This window comes from Homo sapiens, chromosome 1 (assembly GCF_000001405.40).
Source record: "Homo sapiens chromosome 1, GRCh38.p14 Primary Assembly".
In the NCBI taxonomy this organism is placed as follows: Eukaryota; Metazoa; Chordata; class Mammalia; order Primates; family Hominidae; genus Homo; species Homo sapiens.
The window spans coordinates 247004625-247029068 of NC_000001.11; the positions used below are offsets into that span (position 1 = coordinate 247004625).

General features: G+C 42.9%; 1 protein-coding gene, 1 long non-coding RNA gene and 1 pseudogene across 4 annotated transcripts in view, besides 2 other annotated features; 1 reads left to right on the forward strand and 2 right to left on the reverse strand.

Moving 5' to 3' along the window:
* The window catches only part of ZNF695 (zinc finger protein 695), a 62512-nt gene extending 59079 nt beyond the window's left edge, over window positions 1–3433 (reverse strand). For all 3 annotated transcript variants that reach the window (NR_037892.2, NM_001204221.2, NM_020394.5), the window contains exon 1: window positions 3282–3433. Coding sequence is in view for 2 of the 3 variants with exons in the window: in NM_001204221.2 (NP_001191150.2) it covers window positions 3282–3284 (3 nt within the window). In the remaining variant the exon portion in view is untranslated. The remainder of the gene's footprint in view (window positions 1–3281) is intronic.
* The window catches only part of ZNF670-ZNF695 (ZNF670-ZNF695 readthrough (NMD candidate)), a 133266-nt gene that overhangs the window by 59079 nt on the left and 49743 nt on the right, over window positions 1–24444 (reverse strand). The gene's annotated exons all lie outside the window — the stretch shown is intronic.
* Window positions 3026–3125: a silencer, noted in NCBI's record as "silent region_2040". NCBI's record gives its function as "represses an Ori minimal core promoter by ATAC-STARR-seq in GM12878 lymphoblastoid cells {active_cell/tissue: GM12878}" and the evidence as "EXISTENCE:reporter gene assay evidence [ECO:0000049][PMID:35858748]".
* Window positions 3626–3685: a silencer, noted in NCBI's record as "silent region_2041". NCBI's record gives its function as "represses an Ori minimal core promoter by ATAC-STARR-seq in GM12878 lymphoblastoid cells {active_cell/tissue: GM12878}" and the evidence as "EXISTENCE:reporter gene assay evidence [ECO:0000049][PMID:35858748]".
* On the forward strand, window positions 10566–12609 carry LOC100419806 (zinc finger protein 519 pseudogene; annotated as a pseudogene).

Genomic DNA, 24444 nt, shown 5'->3' on the forward strand with positions numbered 1-24444 from the left:
AAGGAAGAAGTCAAATTATCCTTGTTTGCAAATGATATGATCTTCCACTTGAAAAAACCTAAAGACTCTACCAAAAAACTATTCAAACTGAAAAGCAAATTTGGTAAAGTGGTAGGATACAATACTAACATACGATAATCAGTAGCATTTTTATATGCCAACAGCAAACAATCTGAAAAAGAAATGAAGAAAGTAATCCCACTTACGATAGCAACAAATAAAATACCTAGGAATAAACTTAACCAAAGAAGTGAAAGATTTCAACAACAGAAACTATAAACCATTGATGAAAGAAACTGAAGAGCACACAAAATAACAGAAATATATTCTGTGTTCATGGATTGGAAGACTGTTAAAATGTTACTGTTAAAATGTCCGTAACTCCACAAAGCAATCTATAAACTCTGTGTAATACCTACCAAAATACCAATGACATTCTTCAGAGAAATAGAAAAACTAAGCCTAAAATTTTTTTGGAACCACAAAAGACTAAGAATAGCCAAAGCCATCCTGAACAAAAAGGAAAAAACTGGAAGAATTACTCTACTTGACTTCAGATTATATTACAGAGCTATAGCAACAAAAACAGCATGGTACTAGCATAAAACAAGACACATAGCTCTATGGAACAAAATAAAGAACCAAGAAAAAAATCCATACATCTACAGCAAATTAATCTGTGACAGAGGCACCAAGAACATACTTTGGGGGAAACAACAGTCTCTCAATAAGTTGTGCTGGGAAAAATGGATATTCATATGCAGAAGAATAAAACTTGACCCCTTGGCCGGGTGTGGTGGCTCATGCATGTAATCTCAGCACTGTGGGAGGCCAAAGCAGCAGGGTCACTTGAGGCCAGGAGTTCGAGACCAGCCTGGCCAAGGAGTCCGACCAGCCTGGCCAACACAGTGAAACCCTGTCTCTATTAAAATACAAAAGTTAGCTAGCTGTGGTGGCCTGCACCTGTGGTCCCAGTTTACTCGGGAGGCTGAGGCACGAGAATAGCCTGAGCCCAGGGGATGACAGAGTGAGACTGTCTCAAAACAAAACAAAACAAAACAAACAAACAAAAAAAACGATAAAAAACAACAACAAAAAAACTTGGCCCCCGTCTCTAGGCATATACAAAAAATCAAATCAAAATGGATTAAAGACGTAAATCTAAGACCTCAAACTATGAACAGAAAACATCAAGGAAACTATCCAGGACACTGGCTGAGTAAAGATTTTACAGCAGAGTGTCAAGTGATTATTCTCTGCTTTCTTCTCATGTGAAATGTTCAGAACAGAAAGAAAATATTTTTTAAAAAGCCACTCATGGCTGGGCACGGTGGCTCAAGCCTGTAATCCCAGCACTTTGGGAGGCCGAGGCGGGAGGATCACAAGGTCAGGAGATCGAGATCATCCTGGCTAACAGGGTGAAACCCTGTCTCTACAAAAAATACCAAAAATTAGCCAGGCATAGTGGCACACGCCTGTGGTCCCAGCTACTCGGGAGGCTGAGACAGGAGTATCGCTTGAACCCGGGAGGCAGAGGTTGCTGTGAGCCAAGATTGCACCATTGCACTCCAGCCTGGGCGACAGAGCGAGACTCTGTCTCAAAAAAAAAAGAAAAAAAAAAAAAGCCCATTCATTGCACTGTGAAAAAAACAAAAAAGAACCGTTAAAATCTTGCATCTGTTTGAAAAGCAAATAAAGGACAAATAAGCCGGGCGCGGTGGTTCATGCCTGTAATCCCAGCACTTTGGGAGGCTGAGGCGGGCGGATCACGAGGTCAGGAGTTCGAGGGCAGCCTGGCCAACATAATGAAACCCCATCTCTACTAAAAATACAAAAATTAGCCGGGCATGGTGGCGCCTGCCTGTATTCCCAGCTACCAGGAGGCTGACGCAGGAGAATCGCTTGAACCTGGGAGGTGGAGGTTGCAGTGAGCCCAGATTGTGCCACTGCACTTCAGCTTACCTGCCATTGGGCAACAGAGTGAGACTTCGTCTCAAAAAAAATAAATAAATAAAAAGAACAAATAGTTGATAATGTTGTGTTTGGAGAGACAAAGTTAGCATTTGGGAATGTAGAAAAGAAACTGGAAACAAGATTTCCTTCAGGCCCTAAAACAGTTAGGCTGGGGGAACAGAGTCCTGGATTTGAGGTCCTGCTTGCCATACATTTGAAAAATGCTGGGAAAACCAGTTCCCCTGTGGAGTGTTAGAATACTTAAATGGCAGACAATTAGACTGAGTGGCTTTGATGTCCTGGGATTCTATCTAAGGAATCCTAGCTAACTTAGATGAATTTCTTGTAAATTGCAAACTTGGAGAAAAACAAAACGTAGGCTTAACCAACCACTAAATGCTAATAAATCTCTTATTACATAATCAGGAAATTTCATCCTGGACAGTCCAAATAAGGTGACTGCATAATGGCAACCGATCAATTATTAAACGTGGTTGCTTCCTCGTGCACCTTATGAAGACCTTCCCTTCAAGTTTAGCCCCAAACCAGGGCTAGGGGCTTCCAGATTCATAAATCACTGTTTGCTGGAATAAACTCCTTAACATTTCAAAGGTGCTTCAGTTTATTTTTTTAAGAGGAGAAAGGAGACCGGGCGCGGTGGCTCACGCCTGTAATCCCAGCACTTTGGGAGGCCGAGGCGGGCGGATCACGAGGTCAAGAGATCGACACCAACATGGTGAAATCTCCGTTTCTAATAAAAATACAAAAATTAGCTGGGCGTGGTGGTGGGCGCCTGTAATTCCAGCTACTCGGGAGGCTGAGGCAGGAGAATCGCTTGAACCTGGGAGGCAGAGGTTGCGGTGAGCCGAGATCGAGCCACCGAACTCCAGCCTGGCGACAGGGCGAGACTCCGTCTCAAAAAAAAAAAAAAAAAAAAAGAGGAGAAAGGAACCCACAGACCACAGCTCCTCCCACCCAGGAACCTTTCACGGGAGTCGGGACTCTCCCGACAACCCCTCCGTCATCACAGCACAATCCAGGGAAGACGCGGCGCTGCGGGCGCGGGGCTGCCCCGGGAGGGCTCTGGGCCGTGCCGAAGTCACCAGGCAGAGACCGGACAGTCACCCAGCGGCCGGGATCCCGCTGCCGGCCCGGCCCCCACCTGCGCGGGACGGGACTGAGGGCCGAGCTGCGCCAGCGGGACTCGGCCGCACACTCCGGAGCCGACCGCCGGGAGGCCCGGGGCCGCCAGCGCTGGTTCCAGCCAATTCCAACCGATTCCAACCACCCCCTCTCCCTTCTCGGGACACCCTGCTCCGCACACTCACCATTTCCCAGCTTTTGGGGGTCCCAGCGTCCTCCCTATAAATCTCGCAATACCTGCAGGCCACAGGGCGATGGAGCCTGCGGCAGTCACCCGGGACTCTCCGAGAGGCAGCAGACGGGAACCCAGCACCCCGCCGGCCGCAAGGAGACAAAGGCCCCGCCAGATCCCCAAGGCCGCCCCTTCCTCTCTGGCTGCACGCCTGATTGGACAGTTCTCACGCTAGCGCCGCTGACTGGATGGGGCTCCAGGCCCCACCCCCTCAGGTCTTGAGTGACAGGAGGTGCGATCAGACACTGGGCCGAATGAAACAAGAGTGACAGGTTTTTGGGTGCAGCCCTTTTGAAGCGACATTCCTCACGGCACTTCGACCTGGACCCACCTGCCTGGGGGATAATGGCATTTAACCTTGTATATAAGATTATATCCATTCATAAGTTTTACACACACACACACACACACACACACACACACATATATATTTCACAAATAGAAACAATGAATGATAATTATTTTAAAGTTTCCGATTTCATAACCTTCCGGGCCTCTGGTCTTTTGACCAGGCAGCCTGAGCTGTGGAAAGTGAGGCAATCCTCTCAGGCAGCAATATGCAATATAAATAAAAGGTGAGCCACGCGTGTCATTTAAAATTTTCTAGGATCTGGCGGGTCGTGGTGGCTTACGCCTGTGATCCCAGCACTTGGGGAGGCTGAGGAGGGAGGATCACATGAGGCCAGGAGTTTGAGACCAGCCTGGCCAGTATGGCGAAACCCCGTCTCTGCTAAAAGTATTTTTAAAAATTAGCCAGGAGTGGTGGTGGTCGCCTGTAATCCCAGCTACTCAGGAGACTGAGGCAGGAGACTCGCGTGAGCCTGGGAAGCGGAGGTTACAGTGAGCCGAGATCATGCCTTTGCACTCCAGCTTGGGTAATAAGAGGAAAACTCCATCTCAAAAACAAAAACAAAACAAAACAAAAAAATCGGCTGTGAAGACATTTCCTCCTGCAGAAATTTAGCCAAACAGCTGAGTATGTCTTGAAGTCATTCTTTGGTTCTTAACAGGGCAAAGCTATTTTCTAAGACCTAAACCCTGGACTGGCCATGGGGCAAACCCTCACAACACATATGGAATTCATGCACAGTTAATGCATCTCTTACCTTGAACCAGTGGTTGCTACTAATTTTGTTTCTGATTCAGCCCAGTTCTACAACTGCCCTGCTATGCACAGGGCACTGTACTAGCTGCCCTGGCCTTGGTGAACATCATTGTGGGGAGAGGACTTTGCTGGGAAAAAGTTGCATCCCCCCAGATTGAAACCATTCCACTTTCCAAATTGGAGTAAAACTGAAAAGACCTAGGGGAGCACCCAAGGTTACAACATGAATGAATAGCTCAGAATATTTAAAGTCATTTGATGGTATCATGGGTGAGTGTGTCTCACTTCAAACAAAATAAAACACTACTGTTATTCTGAGATTCTAAGTTAGGATTTATGTAAAAATATATAATAATTTTTTTGATACACAACACACATACAAAAAAATACAAAGCATTCATGTAAAGCTCTGTGAGTTATTACAAAGCAAATACAGTTGTATAACCAAGAAATAGAACCAGCATCACTCATATCCCAACAATTACTATCTGCCTCCCTTATCTACCTCCCCAGTGGTAAGTAAGATTATTATTATTATTATTATTATTATTATTATTATTATTATTTTAAGACGAAGTCTCGCTCTTGTCCCCCAGGCTGGAGTGCAATGGCGCGATCTTGACTCACTGCAACCTCCACCTCCCGGAATCGAGCGATTCTGCTGCCTCAGCCTCCCGAGTAGCTGGGATTACAGGCGCCTGCCACCACACCCGGCTAATTTTTGTATTTTTAGTAGAGACAGGGTTTTACCATATAGGCCAGCCTGGTCTCGAACTCCTGACCTCAGGTGATGCACCCGCCTTGGCCTCCCAAAGTGCTGGGATTACAGGCGTGAGCCACTGTGCCCTGCCGATTTTTTTTTTCTTTTTTTGAGACAGAGTCTAACCCTTTCACCCAGGCTGAAGATGCTCTAGCGATCCTCCTACCTCAGCCAACTGAGTAGTTGGGACTACAGGCACACAACCACCACAACTGGTTCATTTAAAGATCTTAAGAGCTAACATTGTACATCACTTTTGCCTTTTCATACAAGCGTTTTATTACAGAAAATTTTAGCCATATACAAAATAAACGAAATAGTATAATAGACCCGTCACCCTGATTCAAGAACTACTCATCTTGTGCCATTTTTCTTTCATCTATGCTTCAACCCATTCTGCACCCACTGCTGTATTTTTTTAGTTCCTTTTTTTTTTGCATGAGGTCAGATGTACACACATTGAAAGGCACAAATCTTAAATGTACAGTTTTTAAAAAATAAAATATACCCATATAAGCTTCACCCCTTTTAAGAATGGAATATTTTCATCATTCTCAGAAAACTTCCTCGTATTTCTTCCCAGGCAGTTTTTTTCTACTTTCAGAGGCTGTGTTGATTTATTTTCACTCTAGGTTCATTTTTGCCTGAAGCCATACAATATGCATTTTATTCCACTTTGTCTCATATACCCAGCTTGTGAGATGCAGTCAGGGTGTGTGCTTCAGTGGCTTGTGTCTTCGTACTGCTGGGTAGCATCCTGTTGTATGAATATCCGCTCTACAATTTGCTGAACCATTTTTCTGTTGATGGACATTCGGGTTGTTTCCTATTTTGGGTTTTTATGAACAAAAGATCTATAAATATTCTTGTACAAATACTTGTTATATTTAATGTAATTCCTTTTTAGAATTTGAGTGACGTGTGTTTTTAGTGGGATGACTGGTGATGTTGAGTACCTTTTTATATGCCTGTTGGCCATTTGTATGTCTTCTTTGGGAAAAATACTCAATCTGTTTCATATTTCTGAATCGGTTGTTACTATTCTCTTTTTTGAGATGGAGTCACGCTCTGTCGCCCAGGCTGGAGTGCAGCGGCGTGATCTCAGCTCACTGCAACCTCCACCTCCTGGGTTCAAGTGATTCTCCTGCCTCAGCCTCCCGAGTAGCTGGGACTACAGGCGCGTGCCACCATGCCCAGATAATTTTTTGTATTTTTAGTAGAGACGGGGTTTCACCGTGTTAGCCAGGATGGTCTCGATCTCCTGACCTCGTGATTGGCCCGCCTCGGCCTCCCAAAGTGCTGGGATTACAGGGGTGAGCCACCGCGCCTGGCCAGATGCCACATTTTCTTTATGCATTCATTCATCAAAGAACACTTGGGTTGCGTCCACGTTTCCGCTTTCATGAATATTCCTGCAATAAACATGGGTGTGCAGGTAAGTTTTTCAGGTCCTGCTTTGCATATTTTGGATAGACACCCAGAAGTGGAATCGCTATATCATATAATAATTCCGTTTGAGAAACCTCCGTACGGCCGGGTGCGGTGGCTCACGCCTGTAATCCCAGCACTTTGGGAGGCCGAGGAGGGCAGATCACCTGAGGTCAGGAGTTCGAGACCAGCCTGGCCAACATAGCGAAACCCCGTCTCTACTAAAAATGCAAAAATTAGCCGGGTGTGGTGGCGTGTGCCTGTAATCCCATCTATAGGGAGGCTGAGGCAGGAGAATCACTTGAACATGGGAGGCGGAGGTTGCAGTGAGCCAAGATCACACCATTGCACTCCAGCCTGGGCAACAGAGCAAAACTCTGTCTCAAAAAGAAAAAAAAAAAAAAAGAGAGAGAGAAACTTCTGTACTATTTTTTATAGTAGCTGGATCAATATTTCCCCACTAGCAGTGCACAGAGGTCTCAGTTTCTCCACATCCTAGAGACCATTTGTGGGTTCTTTATTTGCTTGATAGTGGCCATGTAATGGGTGTTAGCAAAGGAAATCTGGTAGATTTGCTTTACATTTTTATTTTATTTATTTATTTATTTATTTTTTTGAGGCAGGGTCTTACTCTTTCACCCAGGCTGGAGTGAAGTAGTGCAATCTTGGCTCACTGCAGCCTCAACCTCCTGGGCTCAACTGAACCTCCCACTTCAGTCTCCCGAGTAGCTGGGACTACAGGCACCTACCTGCCAACACACCCAACTAATTTTTTTTGTTTTGTTTTGTTTTGTTTTTGTTTTTTTTGAGACGGAGTCTCGCTCTGTCGCCCAGGCTGGAGTGCAGGGGCGCGATCTCGGCTCACTGAAAGCTCCGCCTCCCGGGTTCACGCCATTCTCCTGCCTCAGCCTCCCCAGTAGCTGGGACTACAGGTGCCCGCCACCAAGCCCAGCTAATTTTTTGTATTTTTAGTAGAGACGGGGTTTCACCATGTTAGCCACGATGGTCTCGATCTCCTGACCTCGTGATCTGCCCGCCTCGGCCTCCCAAAGTGCTGGGATTACAGACGTGAACCACCGCGCCCGGCCTAATTTTTGTATTTTTATTATAGGTGTGAGCCATTGCGCCTGGCTGCTTTGCATTTTTCTAAGGATTTGTATATCACTGGTCAGTTTTTTGCCCACTTTTAAATGGCATTATTTGCTTTTTCTTTGTTTAGTTTTTGTAGTTGTTTATATATATCCTGTCAGATATTTGCTTTTCAAATATTTTCTCTCATTCCTTAGGTGGGATTTTGACTCCACTGAATGTTTCCTTTGACATGCAGTTTTTTAAGTTTAATGTAGTTCATTCTTTTAGTCTTTTTTGTTGTTGTTTATATATTTGATGTCATACCCAAGAAAATATTGCGAAGACCAATGTTATCATCTTTCCCCTTATGTTTTCTTCTAAGGATTTTAGAGTTACAGTTTATTTTCTATTTATTTATTTATGTATTTCGAGACAGAGTCTCACTGTCGCCTAGGCTGGAATGCAATGGTGTGATCTCGGCTCACTTCAACCTCCGCCTCACGGATTCAAGCAATTCTCCTGCCTCAGCCTGTCGAGTAAGTGGGACTACAGGTGTGTGCACTAATTTTTGTATTTTTAGTACAGACGGGGTTTCACCATGTTGGCCAGGATGGTCTCGATCTCCTGACCTCGTGATCCGCCCGCCTCGGCCTCCCAAAGTGCTGGGATTACAGGCGTGAGGCACCGCGCCCGGCCTAGAGTTACAGTTTTTATGTTTAAGTGTCTAATCCATTTAAGATGGCTTTTGTATATGATGCAGGGTAAGTCTCCAGTCTCATTTTTTCCCACGTGGATATCCAGTTTTCCAACATCATCTGTTGAAGACTGTTCAGGCCGGGCGCGGTGGCTCACGCCTGTCATCCCAGCACTTTGGGAGGCCGAGGCGGGCGGATCACGAGGTCAGGAGATCGAGACCATCCTGGCGAACACGGTGAAACCCCGTCTCTACTGAAACCACAAAAAATTAGCCGGGCGTAGTGGTGGGCACCTGTGGTCCCAGCTACTCGGGAGGCTGAGGCAGGAGAATGGTGTGAACCCGGGAGGCGGAGCTTGCAGTGAGCCGAGATCGCGCCACCGCACTCCCGCCTGGGCGACAGAGCGAGACTCCATCTAAAAAAAAAAAAAAAAAAAAAAAAAGCATTCAAGAGTGTGTTGTTATCTTTCACGTATTTTTAGATTTGTCAGTTTTGCTTCAACTTTACATTTCTAGCTTTATTTCACGTGGTCAGAAAAGATACAGTGTATGAGTCAGTCCTCTCAAAAATGATGAGTTGTTTTGTCTTCTAACAGGTTGTCCCTGAAACAACTATCCATTTTCTCCTACCCCCAGCTCCTGACAAAGTGTATTCTACTTTCTTTTTCCAGGGGTTTGACTACTTTAGATATCTCATATAAATGGAATCATACAGTATCTCTCTCTTTTTTTTTTTTTTTTTTTTTTTGGAGACAGTCTCACTCTGTCACCCAGGCTGGAATGCAGTGCATGGTCTTGTCTCACTGCAACCTCTGCCTCTGAGTTCAAGCGATTCTCCTGCCTCAGCCTCCCAAGTAGCTGGGATTACAGATGCCCATCACCATGGCCAGCTAATTTTTGCATTTTTAGTAGAGACGGGGTTTCACCATATTGGTCCAGCTGGCCTCAAACTTCTGACCTCAAGTGATCCGCCCACCTCAGCCAACCAAAATGCTGGGATTACAGGCGTGAGCCACTGCACCTGGCCCAGTATCTTTTTTGTCACTTGGTTATTTCACTTACCATAGTGTCCTCGATTTATCCCTATTGTCAATATAACAAAATTTCAGCTTTTAAAAGCTGAATAATATTCAGTTATTTGTGTTTTTCAAATTGTCCTTATCCATTCTTTCATTGAGGGAATTTGGATGCCTTCCACTTTTAGCTTTTGTGAAAAATGCTGCAGTGAATATGGATGTGCAAATAACACTTAATATGACCATGTATGCAAGGGCTTGTTTCTGTGCTCTATTCTGTTTCATTGTTGTATTTGTCTTCCTTTATTCCAGTACCAGACTATTTTGATTACTATAGCTTTATAATCTGTTTTAAAATCAAAGCATGATGTCTCCAGTGTTTTTCTCTTTTTGACAACTCTTGGGCTCTTCTGGTTCCTTAAATTTCATATGGTTTTTAGAATTGCTCTTTATATTTATGCAAAACATGACATTGGAAACTTTGATAGAGATTGCATTGGATCTGTAGATCACTTTGGGCCGAATATGGCCATCTTCACACTGTTAAGTCTTTTATCCCTTAAATGAGAGCATGTTCAAGAGTTTGTTGTTTAATTGTTACATATTTGAATTTTTCAGAATTATTTGTGCTTTTGGTTTCTAGTTTTATTTAACTTCTATCTGAAATCATACTTTGTAAGAGTCCCACTTTTTAAAACCTGTAAAAACTTGTTTTGTGGCTTAACAGTTTATTTTTAATTAATTAATTTATTTTTTGACACGAAGTCTCACCCTGTCGCCCAGGCTGGAGTGCAGTGGCCCAATCTTGGCTCACTGCAACCACTGCTTCCCAGGTTCAAGCGATTCTCCTGCCTCAGCCTCCTGAGTAGCTAGGATTATAGGCATGCGCCATCATGCCTGGCTAATGTTTGTATTTTTAGTAGAGATGGGGTTTCGCCATATTGGCCAGGCTTGTCTCGATCTCCTGACCTCAGGTGATCTGCCGGCCTCAGCCTCCCAAAGTGCTGGGATTATAGGTGTGAGCCACTGCACCCAGCCGGTTGCTTTGAATTTTTAAAAATTTTGCCATCATGCTCATGTCTTCAGCCTGGTATAATTTTATATTAGATTCATAAGGTATATTCTACAAAATCCAGTAAGATAATCTGTTATGTTAATTTCTTTCAGCTCTGTCATCTCATTACAACCAAGGCCTTTCACCAAAGCAGAGCACAGATATTTTATTTTGAAAAGTAATAATGGGAAGTGATGAAAGCTGTGACTTTGAGAATTTACACTTAAGGAAAAAGTGTGAAGATGTGGGTGGAGGTAAAGGCCAAAAAGAACGTTATAATGTGCATCACCAATGGGCAACAACTACTCATAACAGAAATTTACCTGCCACAGGAGACCAAGAACATAGAACATCTCAGAAGAAACCTCAACTTACATCAGCTGCTTCTATATAGAAACATGTTTCTATAAGTAAATATCAACATCGATTTTTGAAATAAACCTTTTGTAATGAAACTCAGAAAAACTTTAACCATCACTCAAATTCCAGTAAACATCAGAGTACTTATTTTCCAGATAATCATTAGAAATGTAATAAATAAAGGAAAGTATTTTAACATTCCCCAAAACTTACCATCCATCAGAGTATCCATACTCAAGAGAAGCCTTACAGATGTAAGAAATGTGGGAAAATTCTAACTAGTTCTCACTGCTTACTCAGCATCAGATAATTCTCACTGGAAAAAATTCACACAGATGTAATTGAAGGGGTGGGTTGCCCCTCCACACCTGTGGGTGTTTCTCGTAAGGTGGAACGAGAGACTTGGAAAAGAAAAAGACACAGAGACAAAGTATAGAGAAAGAAATAATGGGACCCGGGGAACCAGCGTTCAGCATATGGAGGATCCCGCCAGCCTCTGAGTTCCCTTAGTATTTATTGATCATTCCTGGGTGTTTCTCTGAGAGGGGGATGTGTCAGGGTCACAAGACAATAGTGGGGAGAGGGTCAGCAGACAAACATGTGAACAAAGGTCTTTGCATCATAGACAAGGTAAAGGATTAAGTTCTGTGCTTTTAGATATGCATACACATAAACATCTCAATGCTTTACAAAGCAGTATTGCTGCCCGCATGTCCCACCTCCAGCCCTAAGGCGGTTTTTCCCTATCTCAGTAGATGGAACGTACAATCGGGTTTTATACCGAGACATTCCATTGCCCAGGGACGGGCAGGAGACAGATGCCTTCCTCTTGTCTCAACTGCAAGAGGCATGCCTTCCTCTTATACTAATCCTCCTCAGCACAGACCCTTTACGGGTGTCGGGCTGGGGGACGGTCAGGTCTTTCCCTTCCCACGAGGCCATATTTCAGACTGTCACATGGGGAGAAACCTTGGACAATACCTGGCTTTCCTAGGCAGAGGTCCCTGCAGCCTTCCGCAGTGTTTGTGTCCCTGGGTACTTGAGATTAGGGAGTGGTGGTGACTCTTAAGGAGCATGCTGCCTTCAAGCATCTGTTTAACAAAGCACATCTTGCACCGCCCTTAATCCATTTAACCCTGAGTTGACACAGCACATGTTTCAGAGAGCACGGGGTTGGGGGTAAGGTCACAGAATCTCAAGGCAGAAGAATTTTTCTTAGTACATAACAAAATGGAGTCTCCCATGTCTACTTCTTTCTACACAGACACAGTAGCAATCTGATCTCTCTTGCTTTTTCCCACATGAAATAAAGGTAGAAGAGTCTTTAGTCAATCATCACATCTAAATAGACATAAGGAAATCTATATTGGAGAGAAGTATAAAATGTAAAGAATGGTAAACCCATTAACTACTACTCAATCCTTACACATCAGGGAATCCATACTGTAGAGAAACCTTTGAAATGGAAAGAATACGGCAAAGCCTTTAATAGGTGTTCACACCTTACTAAAAATTAAAGGATTGGTACTGGATAGAAACCCTACAAATGTAATAATTTTGGAAAGACTTTTGTGCAAAATATACACTTCAGAGAACACCACAGTATTTACCCTGGAGGGAAATTGTACCAATGTAAAACAGTTAGCAAAACCTTTAACTGATGCTTAAATTTTGCTCAACAGAGAATTTCTATAGGAGAGAACCTCTACAAATGTAATAAATGTGGAAGGACCTTTGTCCAAAATATACAACTTAGAAAGCACCAGAGAGTGTATGCTGGAAAGAAACATTATAGGTGCAGTAAGTGTGAGAAAGCACTTAATGAAAAATCAAGTCTAAATGAAAATCAGAGGACTCGCCCTAGAAAGAACTGAGGTACTAACACTTCTGACATCACTCTAAATCACAGACTTTATTATAGGGAATAACCCAGTCAAAACAATTAGACAATTTAATTTCACGTTTCAAAGAAGAGAGATTGATGGATCAGTAGGTATAATTCTATTTACTGTATACTTGTTTCTGGTAATGACAGTATTTAAGATTGTGTGAGCAAATATGATTTTATTTTTTATTTTTTGAGACAGGATCTCACTCTGTCATCCAGGTTGGAGTGCAGTGGCAATATCATGGCTCACTGCAGCCACAACCTCTTGGGTTCAAGTGATTCTCCCTCCTCAGCCTCCTGAGCAGCTGAGACTACAGGTGTGCACCACCATGTCTGGTTAATTTTTATATATTTTTTTAGAGATGAGGGTCTCACTATGTTGCTCAGGCTAGTCTTGAACTCTTGGAATCAAGGGATCCTCCTGCCTTGGCCTCCCAAAGTGCTGAGATTATAGGTGTTAAGCCACTGCATCTGGCCTGAAAAATTATTATTTATGTAATTCAACCCTCAAATTATTCAATGCTATTCTTTATTCCTACTTTGTATGTAAAAGCATGTGGTCAATTGTTGTTACCTCCAAGCTATGAGGTATATATTATGTGGGCATCATTCACATAAACTCACAAAAATGGAAGACTGAGGGCACTGAAAGGGCATGCATGAGGAAAATCTAGATGTAGGGGTTCCTTTTGTTTGACTTATAACTGTTTTTTAAAAAATTTAATTTAAAACACTCCTCAGCAAATGCAAAAGAAGGGAAATCATAACAAACAGTCCCTCAGACCACAGTGCGATCAAATTAGAACTCAGGATTAAGAAACTCACTCAAAACCGCCCAACTACACGGAAATTGAACAACCTGCTCCTGAATCACTACTGGGTAAATAACGAAATTAAGGCAGAAATAAATAAGTTCTTTGAAACCAATGAGAACAAAGATACAATGTACCAGAATCTCTGGGACACAGCTAAAGTAGTGTTTAGAGGAAAATTTATAGCACTAAATGCCCACAGAAGAAAGCGGGAAAGATCTAAAATTGACACCCTAACATCACAATTAAAATAACTAGAGAAGCAAGAGCAAACACATTTAAAAGCTAGCAGAAGGCAAGAAATAACTAAGATCAGAGCAGAACTGAAGGAAATAGAGACATGAAAAAACCCTTCAAAAAAATCAGTGAATCCAGGAGCTGGTTTTTTGAAAAGATTAACAAAACAAAGAGACCTAATTAGCCAGACTAATAAAGAAGAAAAGAGAGAAGAATAAATAGACACAATAAAAAACGAAAAAGGGGATATCATCACTGATCCCATAGAAATACAAAGTACCATCAGAGAATACTATAAACACCTCTTCGCAAATAAACTAGAAAATCTAGAAGAAATGGATAAATTCCTGGACAAATACACCCTCCCAAGACTAAACTAGGAAGAAGTCGAATCCCTGAACAGACCAATAACAAGTTCTGAAATAGAGGCAGTAATTAATAGCCTACCACCTAAAAAAAGCCCAGGACCAGACAAATTCACAGCCGAATTCCACCAGAGGTACAAAGAGGAGCTGGTACCATTCCTTCTGAAACTATTCCAAACAATAGAAAAAGAGGGACTCCTCCCTAACTCATTTTATGAGGCCAGCGTCATCCTGATACCAAAACCTGGCAGAGACACAACAGAAAAAGAAAATTTCAGGCCAATATCCCTGATAAACATCGATGCGAAAATCCTCGATAAAATACTGGCAAACTGAATCCAGCAGCACATCAAAAAGCTGATCCACCACGATCAAGCCGGCTTCATCCCTGGGATGCAAGGCTGGTTCAACATATGCAAATCAATAAATGTAATCCATCACATAAACAGAACGGATGACAAAAACCACATGATTATCTCAATAGATGCAGAAACGGCCTTCGATAAAATTCAACAGCCCTTCATGCTAAGAACTCTCAATAAACTAGGCATCGATGGAACATATCTCAAAATAGTAAGAGCTATTTATGACAAACCCACAGCCAATATCATACAGAATGGGCAAAAGCTGGAAGCATTCCCTTTGAAAACTGGTACAAGATAGGGATGCCCTCTCTAGCCACTCCTATTCAACATAGTGTTGGAAGTTCTGACCAGGGCAATCAGGCAAGAGAAAGAAATAAAGGTATTTAAATAGGAAGATAGGAAGTCGAATTGTCTCTGTTTGCAGATGACATGATTCTATATTTAGAAAACCCCAGGCCGGGCACCATGGCTCAGGCTTATAATCTCAGCACTTTGGGAGGCTGAGGTGGGTGGATCATGAGGTCAGGAGATCGAGACCATCCTGGCTAACACGGTGAAACCCTGTCTCTACCAAAAATACAAAAAATTAGCCAGGCATGGTGGTGGGCGCCTGTAGTCCCAGCTACTCAGGAGGCTGAGGCAGGAGAATGGCGTGAACCCAGGAGGCGGAGCTTGCAGTGAGCTGGGATCGTGCCACTGCACTCCAGCCTGGGCGACAGAGGGAGACTCCATCTCAAAAAAAAAAAACAAAAAAAACCAAAAAAAAACAAACCATCGTTTCAGCCCCAAAACTCCTTAGGCTGATAAGCAACTTCAGCAAAGTCTCAGGATACAAAATCAATGTGCAAAAATCACAAGCATCCCTATACACCAATCATAGACAAGCAGCCAAATCATGAGTGAACTCCCATTCACAATTGCTACAAAGAGAATGAAATAACTAGGAATACGATTTACAAGGGAGATGAAGGACCTCTTCAAGGAGAACTACAAACCACTGCTCAAGGACATTAGAAAGGACAAAATCAAATGGAAAAACATTTCATGCTCATGGATAAGAAGAATCCATATCGTGAAAATGGCCATGCTGCCCCGTGTAATTTATAGATTCAATGCTATCCCCATCGAGCTACCACTGACTTTCTTCACAGAACTAGAAAAAACTACTTTAAATTTCATATGGAACCAAAAAAGAGCCCACATTGCCAAGACAATCCTAAGCAAAAAGAACAAAGCTGGAGGCATCATGCTACCTGACTTCAAACTAAAATTTAATTTAATTCAATTTAAGCTCTGGATACATATGCAGGTCGTGTAGGTTTGTTCCATAGGTAAACGTGTGCCATGGTGGTTTGCTGCACCTATCACCCCATCACCTAGGTATTAAGCCCCGCATGCATTAGCTATTTATCCTGATGTTCTCCCTCTCTCCACCCCCCAACAGGCTCCAGTGTGCATTTCTCCCCTCCCTGTGTCCATGTGTTCTCATTGTGTGACAGTGTATTAAGTCACACGTTAGTGGTGTTCGTTCTTCTGTATTAAAGTATGAGACAGGGACACTCTGAGTTTCAGAAGTGAATAGTTTTACCAATTACTCATTAAAGAGAAAAGTCTGGGCCGGGTGTCGTGGCTCACGCCTGTAATCCCAGCACTTTGGGAGGCCAAGGTGGGCAGATCACCTGAGGTCGGGAGTTCAAGACCAGCCTGACCAACATGGAGAAACCCCATCTCTACTAAAAATACAAAATTAGCTGGGCGTGGTGGCGCATGCCTGTAATCCCAGCTACTTGGGAGGCTGAGGTAGGAGAATCACTTGAGCCCAGTAGGCGGAGGTTGCAGTGAGACAAGATCACGCCATTGCACTCCAGCCTGGGCAACAAGAGTGAAATTCCGTCCCCGCTCCCAAAAAGACAAAAAAAAAAAAAAGAGAGCGAGAAAAGTCTGCTTAGTCCATCAATATTCTGATATATCTTCATAGTAGCAATAGTTAGAACTCCTGAATATTGATTGGTATGGTAGCAAGAAAGAAATCTTCACAGATAAGAGATGAAAGTGCAGATAGGTCAGGCATGGTGGCCTCACACCTGTAATCCCAACACTTTGGGAGGCCTAAGCAGGAGGATTGTTTGAGCCCCGGAGTTCAAGACCAGCCTGGGCAATATAGTGAGATCTCATCTCTACAAAAAATTTAAAAATTAGCTAGGCATGGTGGCATGTCCCTGTGGTCCCTGCTACTCAGGAGAGGTGAAAAGATTTCTTGAGCCCAGGAGGTAGAGGCTGCAGTGAGCCATGAACACACCACTGCACTCCAGCCTCGGTGATGGGGCAAGAACCTTTCTCAAAAAGTGCAGATAACTCCTCTCTGGTGGGAAATAAATTTATTTTGAATTCAATTTTCTAAACACTTAGCCTCAGTTTAAAAAATAAAGGAAGCATTTTGTTTTGTTTTGTTTTGTTTTGTTTTGTTTTGTTTGAGATGGAGTTTCGTTCCTGTTGCCCAGGCTGGAGTGAAATGGCGCTCTCAGCTCACTGCAACCTCCGCCTCCCGGGTTCAAGCGATTCTCCTACTTCAGCCTCCAGAGTAGCTGGGATTACAGGTCCCTGCCACCATGCCTGGCTAATTTTTTTTCTATTTTTAGTAGAGACAGGCTGGTCTTGAACTCCTGACCTCAGGTGATCCACCTGCCTCAGCCTCCCAAAGTGCTGGGATTACAGGTGTGAGCCACCACACCCGGCCGGAGGCATATTTTTTACATAGATCATGGTATCCGAAGAACAAGAATGCTTCTTGAGAGTAATCTGTATTTTGGCCATTGGGAAAACAGTGGATTTTGAAATGCTTTTTTCAGTCTGTTTGTAAACTTAATTTGTTTTAATAAAGGAAACAAAATGGTTTTTTATCATGTTAACACTGTTGTATATTGACTGACGTGTTATCTTACGAAAAATGTTAGCGTATTCCACCTTGCTCAAGGTCCTAGGTAGCAGACGGTAATACTGTACTATTGGGTAATACATGCCAATCATCTCTAGCAATCCTTATTCCCAGTGGCATTACACTCCAGAGAGTGTGGAGAATATTGATCCCGTATGTTATATTTTTATTCTTTACTTGTGTGACTACTGAGATATTACGATGGTTATAATAAACACTTTAGGGCCAAGAGCAGTGACTCACGCCTGTAATCCCAGCACTTTGGGAAGCCAAGGCAGGTGGATCATGAGATCAGGAGTTCGAGAACAGCCTGGCCAACATGGTGAAACCCTGTCTCTAAAAATATGAAAATTAGCTGGGGGCGGTGGTGTGCACCTGTAGTCCCAGCTACTTGGGAGGCTGTGGCAGGAGAATTACTTGAACCTGGGAAGCAGGTTGCAGTGAGCCGAGATCAAGCCACTGCACTCCAGTGTGGGTGACAGAGTGAGACTCTGTCTCAAAAAAAAAAAAAGATTTTATAGGAGTTTAATAATAAACTGTACCTTTCCTAATCTTGAATTTTACCATCATTTTTTTTCACAAGCCACACTTCTAGGCCCACAAAACACATGCATATTTTGGGTTTTGATTTACATTGACAAATATACAATTATATCAATCCAAAGATAAATTTTAGGAGCATGAGAACTATGGAGTGTGTGTGTGAGAGAGAGGTGGGAGAGAGAGGGAAAGATAGAATGCCTGTATTTATTAGAAAAGGAAAATATTAGAACAAAACAGATAATTTCAGAAAAAAAACAGTTGAAGGTATGCTAACAAACTGGAAACCTCACAGATTCTGTAAAGCACATCTTTTTTTTTTTTTTTGAAACAGTGTCTTGCTCTGTTGCCCAGGCTGGAGTGCAGTGATTCGATCTCAGCTAACTGCAACCTCCACCTCCCGGGTTTAAGCAATTCTCCTGCCTCAGCCTCCCGAGTAGCTGGGGTTACAGGCGCCCACCATCACGCCCAGCTAATTTTTGTATTTTTAGTAGAGACGGGGTTTCCCTATGTTAGCCAGGTTGGTCTTGAACTGCTGACCTCAAGTGATCTGCCACCTCGGCCTCCCAAAGTTCTGGGATTAAAGGTGTGAGCTACCGCGCCTGGCTAGCAAACCTATTTTCTCCACACTGAATTCATTTATCAGAATATCATGGCTCCTGGTCCAGAATCTCTTCCTTCAAATACTATTTTTTTTTCTGCTTTTTACTCATGCAAGAACTATGACATGATTTACTTATTCCCGCACTTATGAAATATTGTGTATATGATACACTTATGAATTTTAAGAATGTTTTTTCATGAAATTTAATGGTGTTCAGAAATTTATCCAAAGATGTGAATAATTCCACAGTGAGTGTTACATTTTATTTAATACATTCCATTTTTTCTTCTCAATCGAAGAACTCTATTGAAGCCAATTCTAAAAAGTTATTGCTCCTTTCCTTTTCCTTTCAAAACAGCTTTATTGAGGTATAATTGACACACAGTAAACTACACAGTTAAAGTATGCAATTTGATAAGATTTGACATGTGTACACCCATGAAACCATTGCCACAGTCACGTTGATAAATATCATCTCCTGAAAGTTTCCTGTGATCCCTTCTTCCCAGAAACCTCCCCTAAACTCTTTCCCCTACCCCCTGTTATCCCTGATCTGCTTTCTGTATTTACAGATTATTTTGCATTTTTTTCTTTTTTTTTTTTTGAGATGGAGTCTTGCTCTGTCGCCCAGGATGGAGTGCAGTGGTGCGATCTCGGCTCACTGCAAGCTTGGCCTCCTGGGTTCACACCATTCTCCTGCCTCAGCCCCCCAAGTAGCTGGGATGACAGGCGACTGCCACCACACCTGGCTAATTTTTTTGTATTTTTAGTAGAGACAGGGTTTCACCATGTTAGCTAGGATGGTCTCAATCTCCTGACCTCGTGATCCACCTGCCTCAGCCTCCCAAAATGCTGGGATTACAGGCGTGAGCCACCACGCCTGGCAGTTTATCATGTTTTTTCACAATGAGAGCCTCCCAGCGCCCCTGCTTCTAGTCAGCCATCTTGGCCTGGTCCCCCAGAATTTTTCATGCAGAAGTGGGAATAATGGCCTCTACATTCTTTACATGGTAGACCAGAAACTGAAGGTCTCTGATTTTATGTTCTGAGGTTTCACTGCTGACACGTTTGGTGCCTAATATCTTATTTTTGCCCTTATGACTCACTTCTAGAAAAGGCAGTAAGAAAGCCCAGGTGCTCCCTTATTTGGTGCCAGCATGAAAATCGAACTGCACGATCTCCTGCTGGGGCTTATGTAAATACAAACTCTCACCATGGCCCCAAACAATAAACCTCTAAAAATTAAAATACAGGTCAATTTCTTTTTTCTTTTTTAACTCTCTCAAGCCACTTTGCACCTACCTGAGGGGCCTGACCTGGTCTCTAAAGATGTCATTTATGAAGGTAATAAACGCTTTATACCCTCTGGGTGCATAATTAGCATCATCAATTAGATGATACATCCATTGGAAATACATTTGGCAAATTTGTTCTATTAATCCCATAGATCTTTACGTATCAGTGAATGCTGCTGTGTTGGGAGCAAGCCCTCCAAAATCTGGCCATAAACAGAATCTCTGCAGCACTCTGACATGTTCATAATGGCCCTAACACCTGCGCTGGAAGGTTGTGGGTTTACAGGAATGAGGGCAAGGAACACCTGGCCCACCCAGGGCGGAAAACCACTTAAAGGCATTCTTAAGCCACAAACAATAGCATGAGCAATCTGTGCCTTAAGGACATGTTCCTGCTGCAGTTAACTAGCCCAACCTATTCCTTTAATTAGGCCCATCCCTTCGTTTCCCATAAGGGATACTTTCAGTTAATTTAATATCTATAGAAACAATGCTAATGACTGGCTTGCTGTTAATAAATACATGGATAAATCTTTGTTCGGGGCTCTCAGCTCTGAAGGCTGTGAGACCCCGATTTCCCACTTCACACCTCTGTATTTCTGTGTGTGTGTCTTTAATTCCTCTAGCACTGCTGGGTTAGGATCTCCCCAACCAAGCTGGTCTCCGCAAGTGACGTCCATTGTGGGGGCTTGAATCCAGGTCGAAGGGTCACCAGAGCAACAGTTAGAGAATGTGGAACTAGCTGGAGGACGCCAGAGTACTCTTAAAGCAATCCCCGTGGTAAGTAAGAAGGGGAGCTCGGAAGCATCAGGGTAACAATGGGACAAGTGTGGGCTCTGGTTCCTTCCACCTTGGAGCTTTTTCACACTGATGATGAGGAGGAAGGAGAGTACAGCAAAGTAACAGAAGAGGGTACAGAGCATGTTTATTTACCAGCTAAAGCTAAAGCGGCAAAGGAAGGAGAGGTTCATCCCTACCCTTCTGAACCCCCTCCTTATTATCTTGAAGAAAATGACCCTCCAGATCTTTCTTTTCTGGAGGACACTGGGCAAAAAGTAGTTGCCCCAGTGACTGTTCGAGCAGCGCCTTGAGCAACCCCTCTTAGTTCTATTCAGGCAGGAATTCAGCAAGCTAGACAAGAGGGTGATTTAGAGGCTTGGCAGTTCCCTGTTAGAATACACCCCCCAGATCAACAGGGAAATATTATAGCTACATTTGAGCCTTTTCCTTTTAAATTGGGGAAAGCATATTTAGTTGATTATATCAAGGCCTGTGATGGTATCAGAGGTAATCTGCATAAAGCTACTTTGTTGGCACAGGCAATAGCAGGACTGATAGTGGATAAAGGAAATACTCCATTTCCTGGAGCTTGTTTTAACTGTAGGAAGCATGGTCATACTGAAAAAGAATGTAGAAAAAATCAGCGAGTCAGGCCGCCAGATAGGGGAAAGAAGAAAACTGTTGAGCCTGAAATATGTCCAAAATGTAAAAAGAAAAACACTGGGCTAGTCAGTGTCACTCTAAGTTTGATAAAGATGGGAACCCAATTTCGGGAAACACCATGAGGGGCCCGTCCCGGGACCCGTTCTAAACCAGGGCATTTCCAGCTCAGGCCATTCCCTCACCCCTGTACAACGTCTGTCCCCCGCCACAGCCAGTAGTGCCACAGTAGATTTATGCTGCACAAAAGCTGTGAGCCTTCTGCCTGGAGAACCCCTGCAAAAGGTCCCAACAGGAGTCTGTGGACCCTTGCCAGCGGGGACAATAGGATTACTTTTAGGAAGGTGTAGTTTAAGTTTAAAAGGCGTACAAATACATACAGGAGTCATTGATTCAGATTACAATGGGGAAATTCAAATTGTTATATCTACTTCTGTTCCCTGGAAGGCAGAGCCAGGAGAGCGCATAGCACAGCTCCTGATTGTGCCATATGTGGAAATGGGGAAAAGTGAAACTAAACGAACAGGAGGATTTGGAACCACAAATAAACAAGGCAAAGCAGCTTATTGTGTGAATCAAATTACTGATAAACATCCTACCTGTGAAATAACTATTCAGGGAGAGAAATTTAAAGGTTTGGTAGATACAGGAGCGGACATTTCAATCATTTCTCTACAGCACTGGCCATCCGCGTGGCCAATTCAACCTGCTCAATTTAACATAGTTGGAGTTGGTAAAGCCCCTGAAGTATATCAAAGTAGCTATATTTTGCATTGTGAAGGGCCCGATGGAAAACCTGGGACTATTCAACCAATTATAACTTCTGTACCTATAAGTTTATGCAGAAGAGATTTATTACAACAATGGGGAGCACAAATTATAATTCCAGAACAATTATATAGCCCTCAAAGTCAACATATGATGCATGAAATGGGGTATGTCCCTGGTACAGGACTAGAAAAAAATTTGCAAGGTTTAAAAAGTTCCCGCCAAAGATTGGGATGTCATTTTTGATGGCAGCCATTGTTAAGCCTCCAGAACCTATACCTTTAAAATGGTTAACAGATAAGCCAATTTGGACAGAACAATGGCCGCTAAGAGAAACTGGAGGCTTTAGAGAAATTAGTTACTGAACAATTCAAAAATGGGCACATAGCTCCAACATTTTCCCCTTGGAATTCTCCAGTTTTCGTAATTAAGAAAAAATCAGGTAAATGGAGAATGTTAACTGATTTAAGAGCCATCAATTCAGTTATACAACCTATGGGAGCATTACAGCCAGAATTGCCTTCTCCTGCTATAATTCCAAAAAATTGGCCTTTAATAGTCATAGATTTAAAAGACTGTTTCTTTACTATCCCCTTAGCTGAGCAAGACTGTGAATGGTTTGCATTTACAATTCCTGCAGTAAACAACCTGCAGCCTGCTAAGTGTTTTCATTGTTTTACAGATGGGTCTAGTAATGGTAAAGCTTCTTATTCTGGCTTGAAAAGTAAAGTTTTTCAGATGCCCTACACTTCAGCTCAAAAAGCGGAGCTTGTAGCTGTAACTGAGGTATTGACTGATTTTGATATGCCTATTAATGTGGTTTCTGATTCCTCACATGTGGTTCATTCCACACAGTTAATTGAAAATGCTCAGTTACGATTTCAAAAAGATGAACAACTGATGACTTTATTTACCCAACTGCAAACAGCAGTTAGAAGTACAAAGCATCCTTTTTACATCAACTCACATTAGGGCTCATACACCTCTTCCAGGACCTTTGACCGAAGGGAATCAAATGGCTGATCGCCTAGTTGCTACTGCAATATCTAATGCTAGACACTTTCACAATTTAACCCATGTTAATGCCTCTGGTCTCAAACGCAGATACAGTATTACCTGGAAAGAAGCTAAAGCTATTATCCAGAGATGCCCAACTTGCCAAATGGCACATTCCTCATCTTTTACATGAGGAGTTAATCCTCGAGGATTGGAACCTAACTCTCTTTGGCAAATGGATGTCACACATGTTCCCTCGTTTGGGAGACTAGCTTATGTACATGTATGTGTGGACACCTTTTCTCACTTTGTCTGGGCTACATGCCAATCAGGAGAGTCTTCTGCCGGTGTTAAACGTCATCTTTTGCAGTGTTTTGCGGTGATGGGCATTCCAGCTTCTATTAAAACAGATAATGCCCCAGGCTATACTAGCCAAGATCTAGCTACATTTTTCTCTATGTGGAATATTGAACACATTAATGGTATCCCATACAATTCTCAAGGACAAGCCATAGTGGAAAGAATAAATCTCTCCCTAAAAGAGCAGTTGCAAAAGCAGAAAGGGGGAGACAGAGAATATGGAACCCCACAGATCCATCTGAACCTAGCATTATTAACTTTAAATTTTTTGACCCTGCCCAAAGGCCAGATGTTATCAGCAGCCGAACAGCATCTACAGAAACCACCTGCAAAGACAGAAACAGAACAACTGATTTGGTGGAGAGATCCAATAACAAAAAGTTGGGAAATAGGTAAAATAATAACTTGGGGTAGAGGTTATGCTTGTGTTTCTCCAGGCCAAAATCAACAGCCTATTTGGATACCACGAAGACACCTGAAACTTTATCATGAGCCAGATGCAGAGGAAGAGATTCCGGGATGATCCCGAGGACCCCCCTGGTTGCAGCCATGTCGAGACTGATGCTGAGGAGGACCCCACCTGTCACGAGCAACACCTGTTGAACACAGCCACCCAACTGGGGACAGATCAAGAAGCTGTCACAGATGGCGGAAGAAAACCTGAGGAAAGCGGGACAACCAGTCACAATGAGTAATTTAATGGTAGCTATGATAGTGGTTATCACCACTGCTGTGAGTATTCCTTCAACAAGGGCTGACACAGAGAACAATTACACTTACTGGGCATATTTATCAATCTTGGCTGGTAATAATGCCTGGATGTAATCACTATGACACAGTTACACATGTTTTCTGATCTCAGTTTTTACCATAATAAATTTGCTCCTATAATTGAGGCATACTGCCCTCAAAAACCTATTTGTAAACAAAATTGAACCTGGCCAGAAAAAAAGAATGTACTTGTTTAGGAAGATTGCATTGCAGAAGAGGCAGAGGTGCTGCACAACAATTCCTATGGAATCA